The sequence below is a fragment of the Homo sapiens genome, chromosome 5, assembly GCF_000001405.40.
Source record: "Homo sapiens chromosome 5, GRCh38.p14 Primary Assembly".
NCBI classification, from domain to species: domain Eukaryota; kingdom Metazoa; phylum Chordata; class Mammalia; order Primates; family Hominidae; genus Homo; species Homo sapiens.
In genome coordinates this window covers 137,444,590-137,461,390 of record NC_000005.10, presented here as the reverse complement: position 1 = coordinate 137,461,390, position 16,801 = coordinate 137,444,590, and the positions used below count along the sequence as shown (strand labels likewise).

Here is a 16,801-nt window from a genome sequence, read left to right as displayed (position 1 = left end):
TCCATTTGATGTGAGCATACACAATACCCAGCTGCCAGTGTCTTGGATGCAGATGGTTTAAAAGAAACTAGAAACTCTGTAGCTGCAGTCTCTTTAAGATCTGCTTGAGCATCACATACCCTTAAACAGATTTTCTACCCAGGGAGGTAAAGTTTCGTGGATCTCCCAAGACACGGACTGATTAATTATTCCATTTATTTAACAAAAATGTATTGAGCACTAATATGTGCCAGGCACATTTATAGATCCTGGAGAGACAGACTTGAGCAAGACGGAAGAGGTCCCCGCTCTCCTGGGTTTTATATTCTAATAGGGCCACAGACAACAAACCAACCACGTACATATATTAGAATTTCTGATAGAGCTACGTCCAGAGAGGAAGACCTGACAGGGAGATGTGATACATGTGATATGCCTCCTTGGGGGCACAAAAGTTAAATAAGAGCAGCCAGGAAGGCCTTGTAGAAAGTTGAGTGGAGGCAGCTGGTTTAAGATCTGGGAAGAGGCATTCTGGTTGAGGGAGCAGCAACGCAGAGGCCCAGAGGTGGGAATGAATATGGTGTGTTTGAGGAATAAAAGAAGGATGTGTGGAGTACATTCAATGGGCAGCAGTGTGGTAGAATTGATATGTAGAGCTTTGTAGATCATACAGGGCCATGTAGATCAGTGTAAGGAATTGGATTCTATTTGATGTTAGAGATCACCTTCTCTACTCATCAAGTTTAACAAGTAGAAACTCAGAGTGAATTTGCTTGGAGAGTCTTTGCAACTTCATGTTACTTGCCTCTCTGCTAGAGACAGTCACCATTGTCCTCTCTGTCTGTCCAATATTCATCCTGGAGCCTGGCCTGCATCTGCTGGCTGCTGGACCAGCTTACTTCAATGTCTCCTGTAGGGTTGGGGCAGAGGAGGAGGGCAGGGAGCGGCTGCTGAGCTTTACTCCTTGGCTCTTCTGTGTTCCCTAAGTGCATTAAACAGGCTGGTCCTTATCCCGTACCTTGACCTGGAAGAGTCTCCCTGGAGGCGTCATATCCTAAGGGCTTACTCCCCTGCAGTGAAGATTGTTAAGCATACAGGGGCGGAGATTTTCAGAGGAGTCCTGGTCAGTAGACTCCTCACCTTGCAGATGTAGAAGCCAGATCTCCCAGACTTCTTGAGCCATTGCTCATTCTCCAGCACAGGCCTACACCACTCTGACCATCCCACTGCCTGATTCATATTTGTCATATTTTCCTTAAATGTACCTGCTCAGATGCTTTAAAAACTAATTCAATTCAGTGAATTGAATCCACACCTCTTAGCTTGGATTTCAAGGCCCTTTACCATTTAGTCCTACTTACTGCCCCATCCTTCTCGCTCATACTTCTCCTACACAGATTCTTTCCCATACTGTACATGTTTACCCACAATGTGTAAATGCCACTATCCTGTCTGCATCTGTACATGCCAAGCCCCTTCTCCTAGCATACCTTTTCCATTATCCTAGCACTCCAGGAACACCTTCAATTTCCAGTTCCAAACCTGCCCCTCTGGGCAGCCTTCCCCAGTTGCTTTAATTCATGAGTATCTTTCATATACCTCTGAATGGCTCTAGTGCTTACAGTCTTTGTCTGTAATGGCCTCACCATGTAGTTATTTTACCTTTTTATCTCCTCCAGTGTACCGTCAGCTCCTGGAGCGCAGGGCACTTGGTTTATTGATGGTGTCGAGAAAAGCCTCAGAGATGGTGAGAATCTGTGAACAAGCTGGAAACCACATGCACCTCCTTCAGGTCAGGGTGGGAGTATATTCCCCATGAAATAGTCCGGAAAGATGGAGTAGCATTGCTTAAATTTCTTGGTGTTCCGGTCAGCTCTTCAGATAGTTTCCAAAAGAAGTCCCTGGCTGAAATAATTCCCCGCAACTCCAGCTGTGAGCAATGAATTAAAAAAAAAAAAAAGCCTTTCATTAGCCTCTCTCTGTTTGTAGAAGGCAAGGACATTCTGCTCTTGGAACCACCTCTTCATTGATGGGAAAGTTCCCCTAAGGCTTGGAGTTGGGAGTTGCCTATTTTTGTTTGAGGGGGAAGGTCAGCTCTGGAGATAGGTGGACCTGGTCACAGGGACTGCTTTGTTGCTTCTGGCATTGATTTGATAAATGTTCTTTGTCTCAGACTTGAGGATGCTTCCCCTGCTCTTGAATTCAATAATAGGTCTTGTTTTTAGCTCGCAGAAGACTACACGACACGTACATCCTCACCCACTCAGTTTGAGCAAGAGCAGGCCCTGTCTGGTTCAACATGTAGTCACCAACACACTCACTCGATATAGGGCATTGGACTTGGGCTGCCAGCCTCACTCACTGGACCACCTGACCACATGGAATTGTGTGTGCACCTTCACTGGGAAATGGTAAGATACAGACAGACTTTCCTTCTTGTGTATATTCTCTGTTTCCCTGTTGGTAAAATCATTCCAACTTAGCACATCCAAATTGGTGGCCCATCTTTATGGGCTTAGAAGATGATAAAACCACCCCAGAACAGTTGCTTCTAGTATTTATTTTGACATGAGTATTTCTATAGTATTTTATTTTAGCTGAGGGTCTAATCTGTGTATTGTCATTTGATGCTCAAGTGCTTCCCTTTTGCCCACAGAGCACATGTGTTTTCTCAAAGGGACAATGTGATACACCCAAGAATGTTAGATGTTTTCTTGCCTTTATTGGTAAAAGCTAAAAAAAACGAACAAACAAGAAATGGAACCCTTACTCTAGGAGAAATTTCGTTGGAGCAAAATGGGATAATTGAACAGTAATGTTTCTTAAATTTAGTAGCACATGAGTTTTTACCATATCTTACCATAAAAGCTTGAGTGAAGGTCAAGATTCACTGACTTTCTCAGGAAGAGTGAATTATTTTGCAAAGTTAAGGCATCTAGGGGCTAAAGATGTTGCCCCAGGCAGTATTTAATACTTTCTGTATTTTAAAAATTTGTTTCTCTTATTACAAAAACAATAGTAACATATGTTTATTGTAGAAAATTTAGAAAATAGTGTCAACTCTTGGCTTTTTCTTTTGTTTTGTTTTGTTTCTAAGACCCTTCCTAGCTGGTCAAGAGAACCTGATTATGGACCCAGGTTTGGAAATGATGAGCAAAGCTTGTGATGTCTTCAGGAGCATTTGCTGGCCAGTCCTATGTCTTAAACATATGTCACAAGAAAGTGACACTGGTGTCTATTTATGTGGGTTCTTCACCAGGTCGTCTCTCCCATAGCCTGTTCCTTCTGAAATGTGCTTTTCTGACTTACCAAGAAGAGTCCAGCCTAACCTAGAACGAGAGCTTACTGGAATGATGATGTTGTCGTCCATAAAGAAACCACCTCTCTTTAAAAGACACCTCAACATTCCTTTAAGTCCCTGCTTGTATTTCCTAGCAGTGCACTGGCTGCCACTGTTTTCTTTATTTTTAATAACCACAAAACAGAATTGAGTCATTTCTGTGGGTTTTCTCATTTTGTATCCTTTGGTTTATCCCCCATATGCAGCTCCCACTTTGTTTAAAACTGAAGGAGAGTTACCTTGTTCGAGGAACAAATTCCCCTTTTTTCCCCTCTGGGATGATTAGACAAGCCAATATGTTCTTGTTGAAATAAAAGGAATGTAGTAATTCTGTGAAGGTAGGCTCAGTGCTTTTTAATCTTTGCATCTCCAATGTCTTTCACGCTATTTGGCACATAGTTGGTACTCAAACAAGGCTAGTTGAATTACTGATTTAAAACCCCAACACATCCTTATTAGCTTATCTCATTGAAAGAGGACTGCCACACTGCATACCTCCAGGGGCATCTTTGCACAAGTACTGTCCTGCTTGTGCAGCCTAATGTAGCAGCCTTGTCTAGAAGGAATAGTCAATCCAGAGTATGAGATTTGAAAGGCTCCATGATTCTTGGCGTGGTGAAAACAAAAATCTCGAAAAGTGACGTTGAGTCTGAAAGCTGCTCATGCTCTCCCACTGCCCCACACTGATATTATTCATCAGTCTCCTCAAGCCTAGGAATATTGTATTCTGCTCAGACTCATCCTGCATGGATAGACTTTATCTAAATTCTAATCCATACTGGCACTGCTTCCACTTTATATCATTCTGATCCAACCCATTCGTGTCTATTTTCTCTTTGATCTTCCTCTGAAAAATTTATAAGGACCTCTGCAGGTATCTGTGTATGTGTGGGTTTCTGCTCAAAACCAGCCATATGTGAAACTCCTTCTTCTTGATAGTGAAGCCTCATCTTAGCTAGTGATTTATCTATCTGATGAGTTGCTTTCAAATTTCAATTTATTCTCTACTGAATATCAAGCTAAACTGAGAGCCCCAGACCATTAAGTAGGATAACTATTGGAAAACATGAGTTGGCCAAACAACTTGCAGACTTACTTCAGATTTACTGAATAGTTTCTTGAAACAAAGGTTAATATACCCACTAGCAGAGGTATAGTAGTTGGTAGTGTGTATTAACAATGAATTTCTTCTGTAGGTGTCAAGCTATCTTGTATTGAAGTAGTCTGTTTGGTATCATGATTATAGTTTCATAGATAAAATTTATATAAATTTCCCATTGGTTCTAGGTGACTAGTTATTGTTTCAGTCTACCACGGTATCCATTACAGACTTCTGTCATAGTCCCTATAGACAATCATTTTACTGGTTATGGGTTCTTTCCTTCATCATTCATTATTACCTCCTTGAGGACAAAGACTTTCTCCTTTCATATACATTCCCAGTGGTGATAATTGTGACAGAACATAATATCGTTTAGTAAGTGTTCATTGACTGAATAAATACATCAAAAATTCTAATTAAGCTGATGGGTCAAAAACACCCTTGGGTCGTTGGATATAAATATACAATCTGGGATCAGGAATTACCAAGATTCTTTAGCATTTAATATAGTTAGAGAATTAGAAGTTATAAAGGGCACATTTCTTCTCAGTTTGCCAAGAGGAGAGAAGAAATCATTGTATTTATAAGTATTAAAAGTATGTACAAACAGCTCCATGAATTATGACACATGAGTTATTGGTTATGTTAGTTTTGTAATAATACAGAATCCTGTTTCTCCTCCTGTCCAAAGGAAAGCTGTGAGCACTGGATCGAGCAGGAATCTCCTGAGAAATAGGAGAAGCAACTGAGGGGCGGTGATAATTAAACACTGTGGACAGCTACAGAAGTTTCTCAGATTCAGGCTGTGGACCCTCATATGAGCAGTCTCACTTATTAAATTGGACTGGGAAAAGAAATTAGTCTCTGAATTCTTTTCCTCCTCCTCCTGCTTTTTCTTCTTTCTTCCTTCTCCTCCTTTTTTCTTCTTCCTCCTCCATTTTAGAGATAGGGTCTTACTCTGTTGCCCAAGCTGGAGTGCAGTGGTGTGATCATAGCTCACTGTACCCTTGGATCCTTGGGCTCAAGTGATCCTTCTGCTTCACCTCCCGTGTAGCTAGGTGTGCACCACTACACCCAGCTAATTTTTTTTTATTTCTACTTTTTGCAGAGGTGGAGTTTTGTTATGTTGCCTAGGCTGGTCTAGAACTTTTGGGCTCAAGCGATCCTCCCACCTCGACCTCTCAAAGTGCTGGGATTACAGGTGTGAGCCACTGTGCCCAGGAAGTCTCTGAATCTTAAGCCATGAAGAAAGCTGGTGGCTGACAGGAAGGAATGATTCCATTTTAAGAGAAGATCCTCTAAGTGTGTCAGATCCCCAGTGCTGCAGGTATTAGAGACAAGAAGCAACCTGTTACTATAGACCACATCAGCACAGATTCCCATGGTAAATGGTTGCTATTATTCCAGGCCATCTCAGGGCTATGACTTTGACTGGCTGCTGTCTCTTTAGAATTGTCTTTATTTAGGCTCCAAGAAGCAGCTATTCTTCTCATATACCCTGTTAGGCCAGCCTGGGCCCTGTCTCCTAGGAGACATGCTCGATATTCTGAGAGAAACTATCTTAGTTTGATTCAGGCAGCCTGGTGCCTACAGTGTGCCCTGGAAACAAAACCGTCTGTAAAGAAGGATCTTTCCTTCTTGATGAGTTACTGTGGGACTCCGGGCAAGTCCCTCCACCTTTTCTGGCCTCAGATAACTTTATTGTCCTTAAGATAAGGTGGTATTTGTGAATAGACCCAGATCCATCAAGGAAACATGCTCATGAAGATGAAAGTGAAGTAATATTATCCCAATGATAAATGGGTGCATTCTCTTGTGTAAGGTACAAAGTCTTGTTACAGCCTCAAAATGTGGCACCATTTCTCCACAGTTCCTAGCTAAGTGAACTGATAACCCAAAGGTTTGAGAATTGAACATGTATCTGGAGAAACTTACCCATTAAGACAATGGAGGTCTTATTTGGTGATACATTTACTTTGGAAAAGAGAGACCATTTTCTCATGTATTATTTTTTCTTGGTAAAAAACAATGGAACAGATAGATAGATATATGCTTCATATTCAAATGTTCCAAATTATGCATGACAGCTTTCCAAAAAGCTGGCATCTAAAAGCAACTCCCCTTTTGCATATATATGATTTGACAGCATTCTTGGTCTTGGATTGTATAAGAGCTGTCATTTATTGCTGTGATTCAACAATTGTGATTAATTGTTCAAGGGGTTTCATTGTCCTTTGCCAAAACAAAATTAAGGGAAAACATTCTCATCATGCCAATCATGTAACTTTAATGTTTATTTATCCTTCCATAGAGGAATCAATATCTATTTTTGAATGAGAATACAAATCACTGTGAGCCTCTCTCAAACATTGCTGGAATAAATAATTTTGAATTCTTCTAGGGGACTCACTTCATTACCTTAGCAAGTTATATCTCATTGTTCCCCCCTCCCCTCCAGCCTCAGCAGATTTTGAGGGACTTGTATGGATTTATAGGAATATGGCCTTTCCTTTAGGGTCTTTTGGTTATGTAAAAGAGATTTTAAATGCTCTTTCATGTGAATGTTATTGAGCCACCTTAAGCAGGAGCTCAGTGATCCTCCGAATGTGTTTCCCATTCTTCTAGGTATTTTGGGGGAGATCCTTGCAGTTGACTTATAACCCACCCTGTGGTTGCCAGAGTTGGTGTAGGGGTGGCTGTCCTCTTAAGTCTGGCTTTCTGTCTGTTGTTGAGCTCATTAATACCCATCTAGGCCCAGGTTTTGCTAGTTAGATGAGCCACCTTAAGTTATATGAGCTGGGCTACACTAACAGAGACAACAATTCTATTTTATCCTGTAGAGATTTATCTTCACTATTCTCACCAATGCTATTCTTGAATACAATATATGGACTCTGAAATCTTACTTTTCTTTTTTTTTTCCTGATCCCAAGTAGTATCCGTCTTTTATTCTTGATAGTGACATCCTTGTACATCATAATGTTTGTCCTTAGGGAGCATGGCATGCATTTGCATTTATCCATGCACAAACAGCTAAATTTAGTTTGGAGAAGTGAAACCCAGGGAATAAGGGGACTCCACTACAATCACATTAGACCTCTAAGACCTTGATTTTTCATTTACTTTTAATTTTCTGCACCCCCTGTACCCCCACAGAACAGGGCAATAAGAAACACACAAGGACACCTTGATCATGTCTCGCTCTACCCCTTAAATTGCATCACTATTGTGGCATAGATACCTATGGGGCAGTGGTAATATGTATCTCAGCAATGCTAATTGGAACTGTCCGTGGTGCTGATAGGCTTATTAAGAAAACTATTCTTGAACAAGAGTGCAGCCTTGGATGGAATGAAACCTTTTGCTCCCTGAAATTAGCGCTCTAGATTCCCGTGGCTGGGCTTTGCCATACTGAATGAAATAGAAAATTGCGGACAATTGTTTCACTAGATTGAGCCAAAATAATGGTTTTAGCTTTCAGTGCCTTGATATTTTGGGCCCAAGTTTTCTTGGTCTTAGACATTGGAAGAATTTCTTACTACTGGGCTGTTTTTGGTAGATAAAGCTCGTGTTTTCATTTTTTCTTTCCTGTAGCTACCCAAGAGTATCACAGAGAGCACACAGGGAATTGACAATTATTTTTAATGAGAGGTGTATATGAAGCAGCTTCTTACTCTGAATTTCCTGCACTGCTTTTTAGTGGAATCAGGGAGTTTGAGATGTACTTCTGGTACCATTAGCATTGACAGCGAATTTCATAATCACTTTCTGGAAGGACCAAGTGGGCTCTGGTTTTTAGTTTTATTTCAGAAGCGTGCCTTATTTTTTCTAAGCAAACCTACTAGTTGTGACATTTGGAGAAAACACAGCTCTCTAATATTTGCCTTTGGTTTGAATGAGGTGAAGAACATGATAAAGTGGAAAAAGACTTAAAAGTCAAGTAACATTCATCTTCTCTTTTTCTAAAACTCAGATTCATGGACTTGAAGGTGTCCTGGATTCTTAGGGTGCTAGTGCCCTAGAAAATTCTTAGGAAACAAGAGAGTGCTTTTTTCTCCACCCAGGTAGCTCTGCCGCTTTGATACTAGCACCAGGACCAAAAGCGATATTGGATTTAATGTATATTTCTTGAGAATTTACATCTGGGCCCTCATAGAGCTGATAGAGCAGTGGAGGAAACAGACATAGGATAGATAACTGCCCATGTGCCAAGGATGCCACATAAGCAAAAGGGAAACTATAGCTTTTGCATTTGAAATGCAAGTAATAAAAATACAAGTACCATTGTAGTCATAACTATGCTTTGGGATTTGTTTTTGTTGTTTATTTTCTCACAAGAATTATTACATGAGGTATTAGATGAGACATGTCACCTATGCACATTACAATCTCAATTTTTAGGATGTCTGTTAGACACATTCAAATTAAAAAGATGAGTTCTTTCAAAACTACTATGTTATAAACCTTGAATCAGATTCACTTTTTTTCTTTTACCAGGTGGCAGTAGGTAATAGTCAATGCAAATGGGGAAAAAGATAACTAAATAATTTGGGATTCAGTAAGCCCCGCCCTTTCAAAATGACGGCTTCATAATGACTTGGCAAAACACTCCATTTTCATATTTTCTTAGTATGTACAGCAACAAGCCAGCAGAATTGGTATAAAAATACATTTCATTGGCAAAAAAGCTCATCTAATCATATCATTTTGATACAAAACACACGGCATGTGATGGTGAAGTTATATACCACGAATGTAAATAGTTAAATTTTGGCTTGTTTTACAAAACATACTTTCAAGGTTTTCTACATGGTTAGTGGTCTAAAGTATGTAGTTGTTATACAGATTGAACATCCCAAATCCAAAATCTGAAACACTGGAAAATCCAAAACTTTTTGGCCATCAACCTGATGCTCAAAGGAAATGCTCATTGGGGCATTTTGGATTTTCAAATTTGAGATGTTTAACCAAGGTCAGTATATAATGCATGTATTGCAAAATATGGAAAAAATCCAAAATCTAAAACACTACTGGTCCCAAGCATTTTAGATAAGGGAAACTCAACCTTTAGGGTCTAAAATTACCCTAATTTGTAGAACTCAAAAATATACATGCTTACTTACTGAGCTAAAACGTTACAGGACTGGCTGAAGGATACAAATGTAAATGGGTGAAGCAAATCAATGGATTCTGCTGGCAGCATCTTATACAAGCCAGAATTAGTGTGCTGCAATAGGATTAAGATTTCAAGTGGAGGCATAAAATGTATGTGCAGGACCAAACACAATCTGAATGGGCTAAATCCATTTTTTATTTCTACATAGATCAAGGGAATGAGATTTACCAAGATGTTGCTTGTTAAATATTCAAATGAGAGCTGGGTTTACGTGGTGTTGCAGGGAAAGCACATTAGCTGGATTAGTGCAGATCTTTCATATTACTTTGAGGTAGATTTCAAGAGTCTGTTTATGCTTAATGTAATTCTTCTGTTGGTGTTTATTGTCACTAAAAAAAGAAGAAAAGGAAGTGACAGGTGTCCTGCAAAATTGAATACATTGTAAATAGCACTGTGATTGCATTGAGTTCATCCCTGCTAAGGCTGAAACGTGAGCTTGGGGCAACATTGGGAGAAACTGTGTATTGTGACAGTCACTTTGAAAAACATTCTGCGTTGTGCAGGAGTGTTTGGGGGTAAGCAGAGATGGAATGATCAAGCATGGCTCCTGGCTGCCGGGAGCATGGAGTATAATAAGAATGGCATTACCTAAGAAGGGGAAAACTGTTCTGTTTTAGACTAAGGATCAAGGAGGGAGAGGTGATCTACCCTGTGGCCTGTGGCTTACCTGAAAAGTTTGAGTCCTGGGTAGGGTGGGTCTGTTCCTAGACTGGGCCAGGTGCGGGGATTATCAGTGGCTTCAGAGCAACTGAACTGCTACACTGAGAGAGACTGAGGAGCTTTGAGCAGGAGAATGCCATGATTGCTCTTGCCTTGGTGAAATTTGCCTGGCATGGGTGGGCAGGGAAGATGAGCTGTGGAGGAGTTTGGAAGAGGGAACACTGGTCGGGAGGGTATTTTAATAGTTTGGGTGAGAGAGGTGGAGCAGCCACAGTGAGAATGGATGGGATGACACGGATGCAGCATGGAGATAGAATTGGCAGCATCTAGCAGCTTTCAGATGCAGAGGGCTAGTGAGGGGAGAGAGCCTATGACTTCAAGCCCAGGTAATAGGAGAGATAATGGTGCCATTATCAGGAAAAAAGAGGGAGAACAGTTTTGAAAGAAGCTGAATATTGTTGTGAAGTTCGGAGCTAAGGACTGTCTACATAATTTTCAGGGCCTGGAGAAAAGTAAAATATGAGGCCTCTTGTTAAAAAATTACTAAGAATTTCAAGATGGCAATAGCAGAGCATGGCCCTTCTAAGCATGGGCCCTATGTGAATGCGCAGGTCACACACCCATGAAGTCAGCCCTGATTGAGCTGGAGGTGCTGAGATGCATGTACACCCCACACCTTTCCTGGGGAGATGCACCTGCCCCCATTTTTGGAATGCTCAAGTGAAAACTCAGAGCAGATTTGCATGCACTGGTGCAGGATGCCACAGAGTGGTGACCAGGGCTGAAAAGGACAAGAATCACAGCAGTCTTTGAGTGGAACTGAACCCACTCTATCCCAGTGGGTTAACACCTATCATTACCAAAGGTGATAAATTCCCTAGAACAGGTGTGGAGACACAAGTCCTCTGATGGTTGTCATCAATTGCAATTTGAGTGAAAACTATTAAAGTTGAGAAGAAAGGTCCTCAATCTTCTTGCCCTTCCCCACCTCAACATCTCACTCCCCCAAGGCTATAGCTTGAAGATTCCCTGGGCTTTTTTGCATTGAGGAAAGAAGATCCTGCCCTTTTTGGGAGGTATCTACCATGTGTGTTTGGACACACTCTTCTATAGAGTTTTTTTTTATGAATGCCACCTTGTTTAATTTTAAAAAATTATTTCATTTGTTTCTTATTTACCTTTTATTTTGTTTCCTTTCTTTCTTTTTCTTTCTTTCTTTTTTTTTTTTTTTTTTTTTTTTTTTTTTTGAGACAGCATCTCACTTTGTTGCCCAGGCCAGAGTGCAGTGGCTATGATCATAGCTCACTACAGCCTGGGCTCAAGTGATCCTCCTACCTCAGCCTCCTTAGTAGCTGGGACTACAGGCATCTGCCACTACACCTGGCTATTTTATTTTATTTTATTTTTCATAGAGATGGGGTTCCACTGTGATACCTAGACTGATCTGGAACTCCTGGGCTCAAGCCATCCTCCTACTTCGGCCTCCGTAAGTACAGGGATTACAGGTATGAGCCACTGTGCCAGGCTCCTTGTTTAATCTTAGACATGGGTTTTGCCTCATTTTACAGATAAGGAAACTGGGACTTAGAGAGGCAAGAGGCTCTAAAATTTGACAGTATCTACTTGGCAGAGCCCATCTCTGTGATGCTGCCTCTCTTTGCTGGCCATGGAAACACAGACAATCAGAACTGCTTAAGACTGAAAAAACACAGTTGTAGCAGAGCTAATGTTAAAACTACTTTCTGAGGAAACTAACTGGTTATTTTATTTAGGCTGAGAGGAGAGAGGTGGGGTAGAGCAGAGGATGTTTTTGAGTCAAAGTTATTGTGTAGGTGGTACATGTTCCTGACACATGGTCCAGGATTGCCTGTGTCTGGTCAAGGAGACTATCTCTCTTTTTGTTGCACTGGGCAGAAGGTATTGGGCCCTTGGGTCAGTTGAGAAGAAATCATTTTCTACTTTGCGATTGTGACCAGCCAGCAGGCTGGAAAGAGTGCCAGGGCACCTGGTCCTGCAACTGTCCTGGGGGCTGAAGCCAAGCATCTCCTTCCTGGCTTCTTAGCAGTTCTGATGCCTTGAAGCAGGGCCTGAGGGTAGGGAGATCACTGGAAGATTGTGGAAGAGAAGTGACACCTGAACGAAGAGTGCTGTCTCACTTCCCTGGCACCCCACTGACAACTCCGTGGAAATCAGGTGTCAGGCCAGATTCCTACTGAAGGGCAGACCTTCTTCTCTCAGGCAGGGCTTTTCTGATAGGGCCCTGCCCCACGGGAGGAGGAAAGTTGGGAGGGCACAGAAAGTGGAGCAGGTGCCAAGTGCAGGATGTCTCTGTACAAAGTGTCTGCTAACTCTGAGAAAGATGAAACAACGGAGAACCTGATGTTTGGAGTTTGAAATCATCATTGAATTAATTCTGAATGAATGATTCAAATTGATTGATGGGGAAAAATGTCTTTGATATGCTGCTGTTTGCAAATGCAAGTTCAAGGAAATTTTACTGTAAAGTTAAAAAAATCTGATTATTTGTCACTCATACATTCTTACCTGTATTTGAATTCCATTTAGTGGCTATACCTAATGAAAAGAAATCATTGAGTCCTGGCCGCTGTAGCCCAGGCACACAGGGAGTCAGGTGGCATCTGTAGGTGTTTGGGGATCTCTGGGGTTGCACTTCACAGTAGAATTCTGTCCAGTCCTCCCTAGTCTAAGAGCCCCAAAGAAACCACCAGGTTTCTAATCAGATGATGTTTGGTAGAAGGAGGATGGACCCTAACTTGCTCTCAGATTGTGTGCCCTCTCTAGTACAAACATGAGGTGAGGTGTGGTTCTTACTGAGATAACAGCGAGTGGGTATGTATTTAATTTTAATTAAAAAAATTTTTTTTGAGATGAAGTCTTGTTCTTGTCACCCAGGCTGGAGTGCAATGGCACGATCTTGGCTCACTGCAACCTCTGCCTCTAGGGTTCAAGCGATTCTCCTGCTTTAGCCTCCTGAGTAGCTGGGATTACAGGTGCCTGCCACCAAGCCCGGCTAATTTTTGTATTTTTAGTAGAGATGGGGTTTCACCATGGTGGCCAGTCTGGTCTCGAACTGCTGACCTCAGGCAATCTGTCCACCTTGGCCTCCCAAAGTGCTGGGATTACAGGCATGAACCACTGTGCCTGGCTGTATTTATTTTTTAATACCAATGCTTAATGCCTATTTGATGTTAGAGACTGAATGGTAATATTATGGAAAGCCAGGCATCAAGCCCCTGGGCTTTTGAATATAGCCGGATTATATCACCTACCTCGAGGTTGCTGATGTTTTTGGCTGGCTTTATAGAGGTGGATTAAATTTATTTAGGGATTTTCTTGCAGGCATAGATTGAATCCTAGTCATTTCTCTTATAGGTATGGTGATAGGTTTACAGATGCCTGAACAGGTGAGTAGGGATGGTTTAGGGAGGCGTTCCCCACTTCTGGCTCTCAGACCCCTGGGAGAGGTGGTAGGTATGGTGGTGGTGTGGGTCATATATTGGGGGGGGGAATGATTTCAAGTTGGTAAATCCATGTGTTTGCCAAGCTTTGCTTTTTACTTGTGTGTGATTGAGTGTAATATAATACCGATTTATTTCAAAACACTTCTGATTTGCCAGTAGCTTTTTGTCACAGTGTACCTATTTTAATTAAGATTTTTCTAGATATTTGAGAAAGTCTCCTCAGACAGAAACAGAACTAGTAGAGGACCACTGGTTTGGGGAACAGCTACATCCCTGTGACTAGGTCATGGTCTCCTCTGTGTATTCAGGGGCATTCGTTATGTAGCACACACGACAGTCCTTTAGTGTGGACACTCTTCTCCTCTGCTGGTGAAGGGCTTTGTCAGCTGTTGCCCTCCTTTTCTCCACGTTAGGCAAGAAGGAGCAATAATTTATATTAGGAAACAATGAAAAACATTAGGCTGACCTGTTGTTCAAAACAGACATTTCTGCTTATGAGAATCTACTTATAAGAATTATCTCCATATCTGTACACCCATATTCATAGCAGCATTAACAACAACAGCCAAGAAGTGGAAACAATCCAAGAGTGCACTGATGGATTAATGGGTAAAGAAAATGTGGTGTATACATACAAGTGGAATCCTTTTCAGCTTTAAAGGCAAGGACATTCTATCACATGTTACAACATGGATGGAAGTTGAAGACATAAAGCTAAATGAAATAATCCAGTCACAAAAAGACAACTACAGTATAATTCCACTTTATGCAGTATCTAAAGTAGTCAAACGCATAGAAACAGAAAGTAGGATGGTCGTTGCCAAGAGCTGCAGGGAAGGGAAATGGGGTATAGTTTAATGAGTATAGGGTTTCAGTTTTGCAAGATGAAAAATTTCTGGTGATTGGTTGCACAACAATGTGAATATACTTAACAGTAGTGAACTGTAAACTTAAAAATTTACAATGGTAAATTTTTTGTTCTGTTTTAAAAATCACAATAAAAAGAATCATCGCGTTTCTAGTTTCTAAGCCATGTTGACTTGTGCCCGTCTTGTCTTTTCCATGGTGCGGGCACCTTCCCAATTTTCTCATACTGTGCATCTCACATACCTTCCTCCTATGGGAATTCCTCAGAATCCAGGTTAGACTTGTTCTGGGATCTCTCACCTGTGGGATCCTGCTGAGACCAAAGGGAAGACTGCCTTTGCCTCTGGGCCACTGCTGTGGTGGGTGTCTACTCTTCCTGTCTCTTAGCATCTATAATCTGTTTCTTCCTGGCCCAACAGCTCTCTGGAGATCCAAACTCTGTCATTTTCTGCAGCTGCATTGATTAGTTGCATCATTAGGTTTGGTTTAATTGCAGTGACTCTGCTGTTAACGATTTTTACAAGGTACAGCAGGAAAAAAGTCTTTGGGTGCTTCTGTCTCCCCAAAAGATAAAATGTAATTATTTTTCCATATCATTTGAATTTTTATTGTTAATAAATGCCTGGCACTGTTTTTTGGTGTGACATTTAAGTCCAAAGGGATATTGTGGAGCCTGCATATATATAATTTAATGTAGAGCATAGAATTTTAGTGCTGGAAGGGATTTCTGAGAGCTTTAATTTCAACTTCCTTTTTTTATAGGGGAGGAATTTGGGGCCCTGATTAGGAAAGTGTTTAATGGCAAAGCTGGAATCAGTCTTAGGTCACAGTTTGTATTTTGTGCTCTATTTCTTGATGCACCCCCTTGGAATTTAGAAAACTATATCTAGTTCCAGGGATCTGAATACCATTCATTTTAGAGCATAATATATCTATTAGCTTGAAGTGATTGTATGTCCAGTCTGCTAGCAGTGAGAAGTGGCTATACCGTTTATAAATTCTTCAGACCATGTCTGAAGTCCTATGTCAGTTGCCTTCTCTTTACCCCAGATAAGTGCTTCTGTGCCAAAGTCAACTTCTGAACTTAATGCTTCCAAGGAGCTGGCTATTAGAGGATTGCTGGATTAAATCATTTTGAAAATGGAAGAGTTCTTCTATAACATGACAAAAATCATCCTTGAATTAACCTTTCTTGGGAAATAATGTTTGCATTCAACTTTGACTCCCTCTTCCCTTTCCTCATTTACACTTGTATGATACTCTTCAGGGACCTTGTACATTACTTCTTGTGAGATTGTAAGCTTCCCAAGCCTCCCTGTTGCCTCTGAGTGCCCAGCACATGGAAGGGAGTTTTAAAATTTTTTTTCTCTTCTCAATCTGGCTGTACTGAATTTAAGTAGACCATTCATAGGGTTGAAGGAAAAGTATGATCACAAATAAAATGCAGCTTCCTAATGCAATGTGAATAGCATTTTGTAACCAGTTAGAATTAGCCACACCCAGTTTCATGGGGAGGTGAAATTTGGTCTCAGTTCTGAAGAATGGGCAGAGAATTTGTGAAGATAATTATAGTAGAGGAAAAATAGCATACCCAGGAAGAAGGAAATATAGAGAAGGGGGAGGGGAGGAGAAAACGCAATGTCTAGGGTGGAGGTGGGCAGTGGACTTTCCTTTTGGAGTGTTTACCTGGCTCATGTGAGCCCTGATGCTCTGCCTCGTTCTCCACCATTTGTAGTAGTGGGCTCCTCCATGGCCATTCTGTCTGGAAGCATCCTGCCAGATACCTACAGTTGATTGAGCTAGGGACAAGCCCCTAACCCAAGATCAGAGCCTCTTTCCTGGGTATTTGGACTAGGAGCTGGGAGAGGAACTTAGGTAGCTGGGTTTGTGTCATGTGAGCTTGGGAGCTGGGAGGTGGACAACCTGGTATCTGCCAGGAGGCTGAACAAGGGGAAGAGAATGGTCAGCAGAGGGTGATTTTCCAGTCCTTAGGGCCTTGCCTGGTTGTAGGGCCTGGCTATAGCCCTGCGTGCACACTCATGTCAATATTCTTGTGGCTGCAGCATAGATTCTCCGCAGGTCCCCAATCTCCTCTGGGGAGAAGTGAAGATGGCTCTATTACTTGCTTCTAAGAGTGTTAAGAATAAAGGGAGTCTCAGGAAGCAGAGTGAGTCCGGCTGTATCTCAGGAGCTTG

General features: G+C 41.5%; 1 protein-coding gene across 1 annotated transcript in view, besides 1 other annotated feature; it reads left to right on the top strand.

Annotated features, from left to right (window-relative positions):
* Window positions 1–16,801, top strand: part of SPOCK1 (SPARC (osteonectin), cwcv and kazal like domains proteoglycan 1) — a 524,029-nt gene that overhangs the window by 37,936 nt on the left and 469,292 nt on the right. The window lies entirely within an intron of this gene.
* Window positions 7,584–7,784: a silencer, noted in NCBI's record as "peak5485 fragment used in MPRA reporter construct". NCBI's record gives its function as "represses an SCP1 promoter by STARR-seq MPRAs in K562 erythroleukemia cells {active_cell/tissue: K562}" and the evidence as "EXISTENCE:reporter gene assay evidence [ECO:0000049][PMID:32103011]".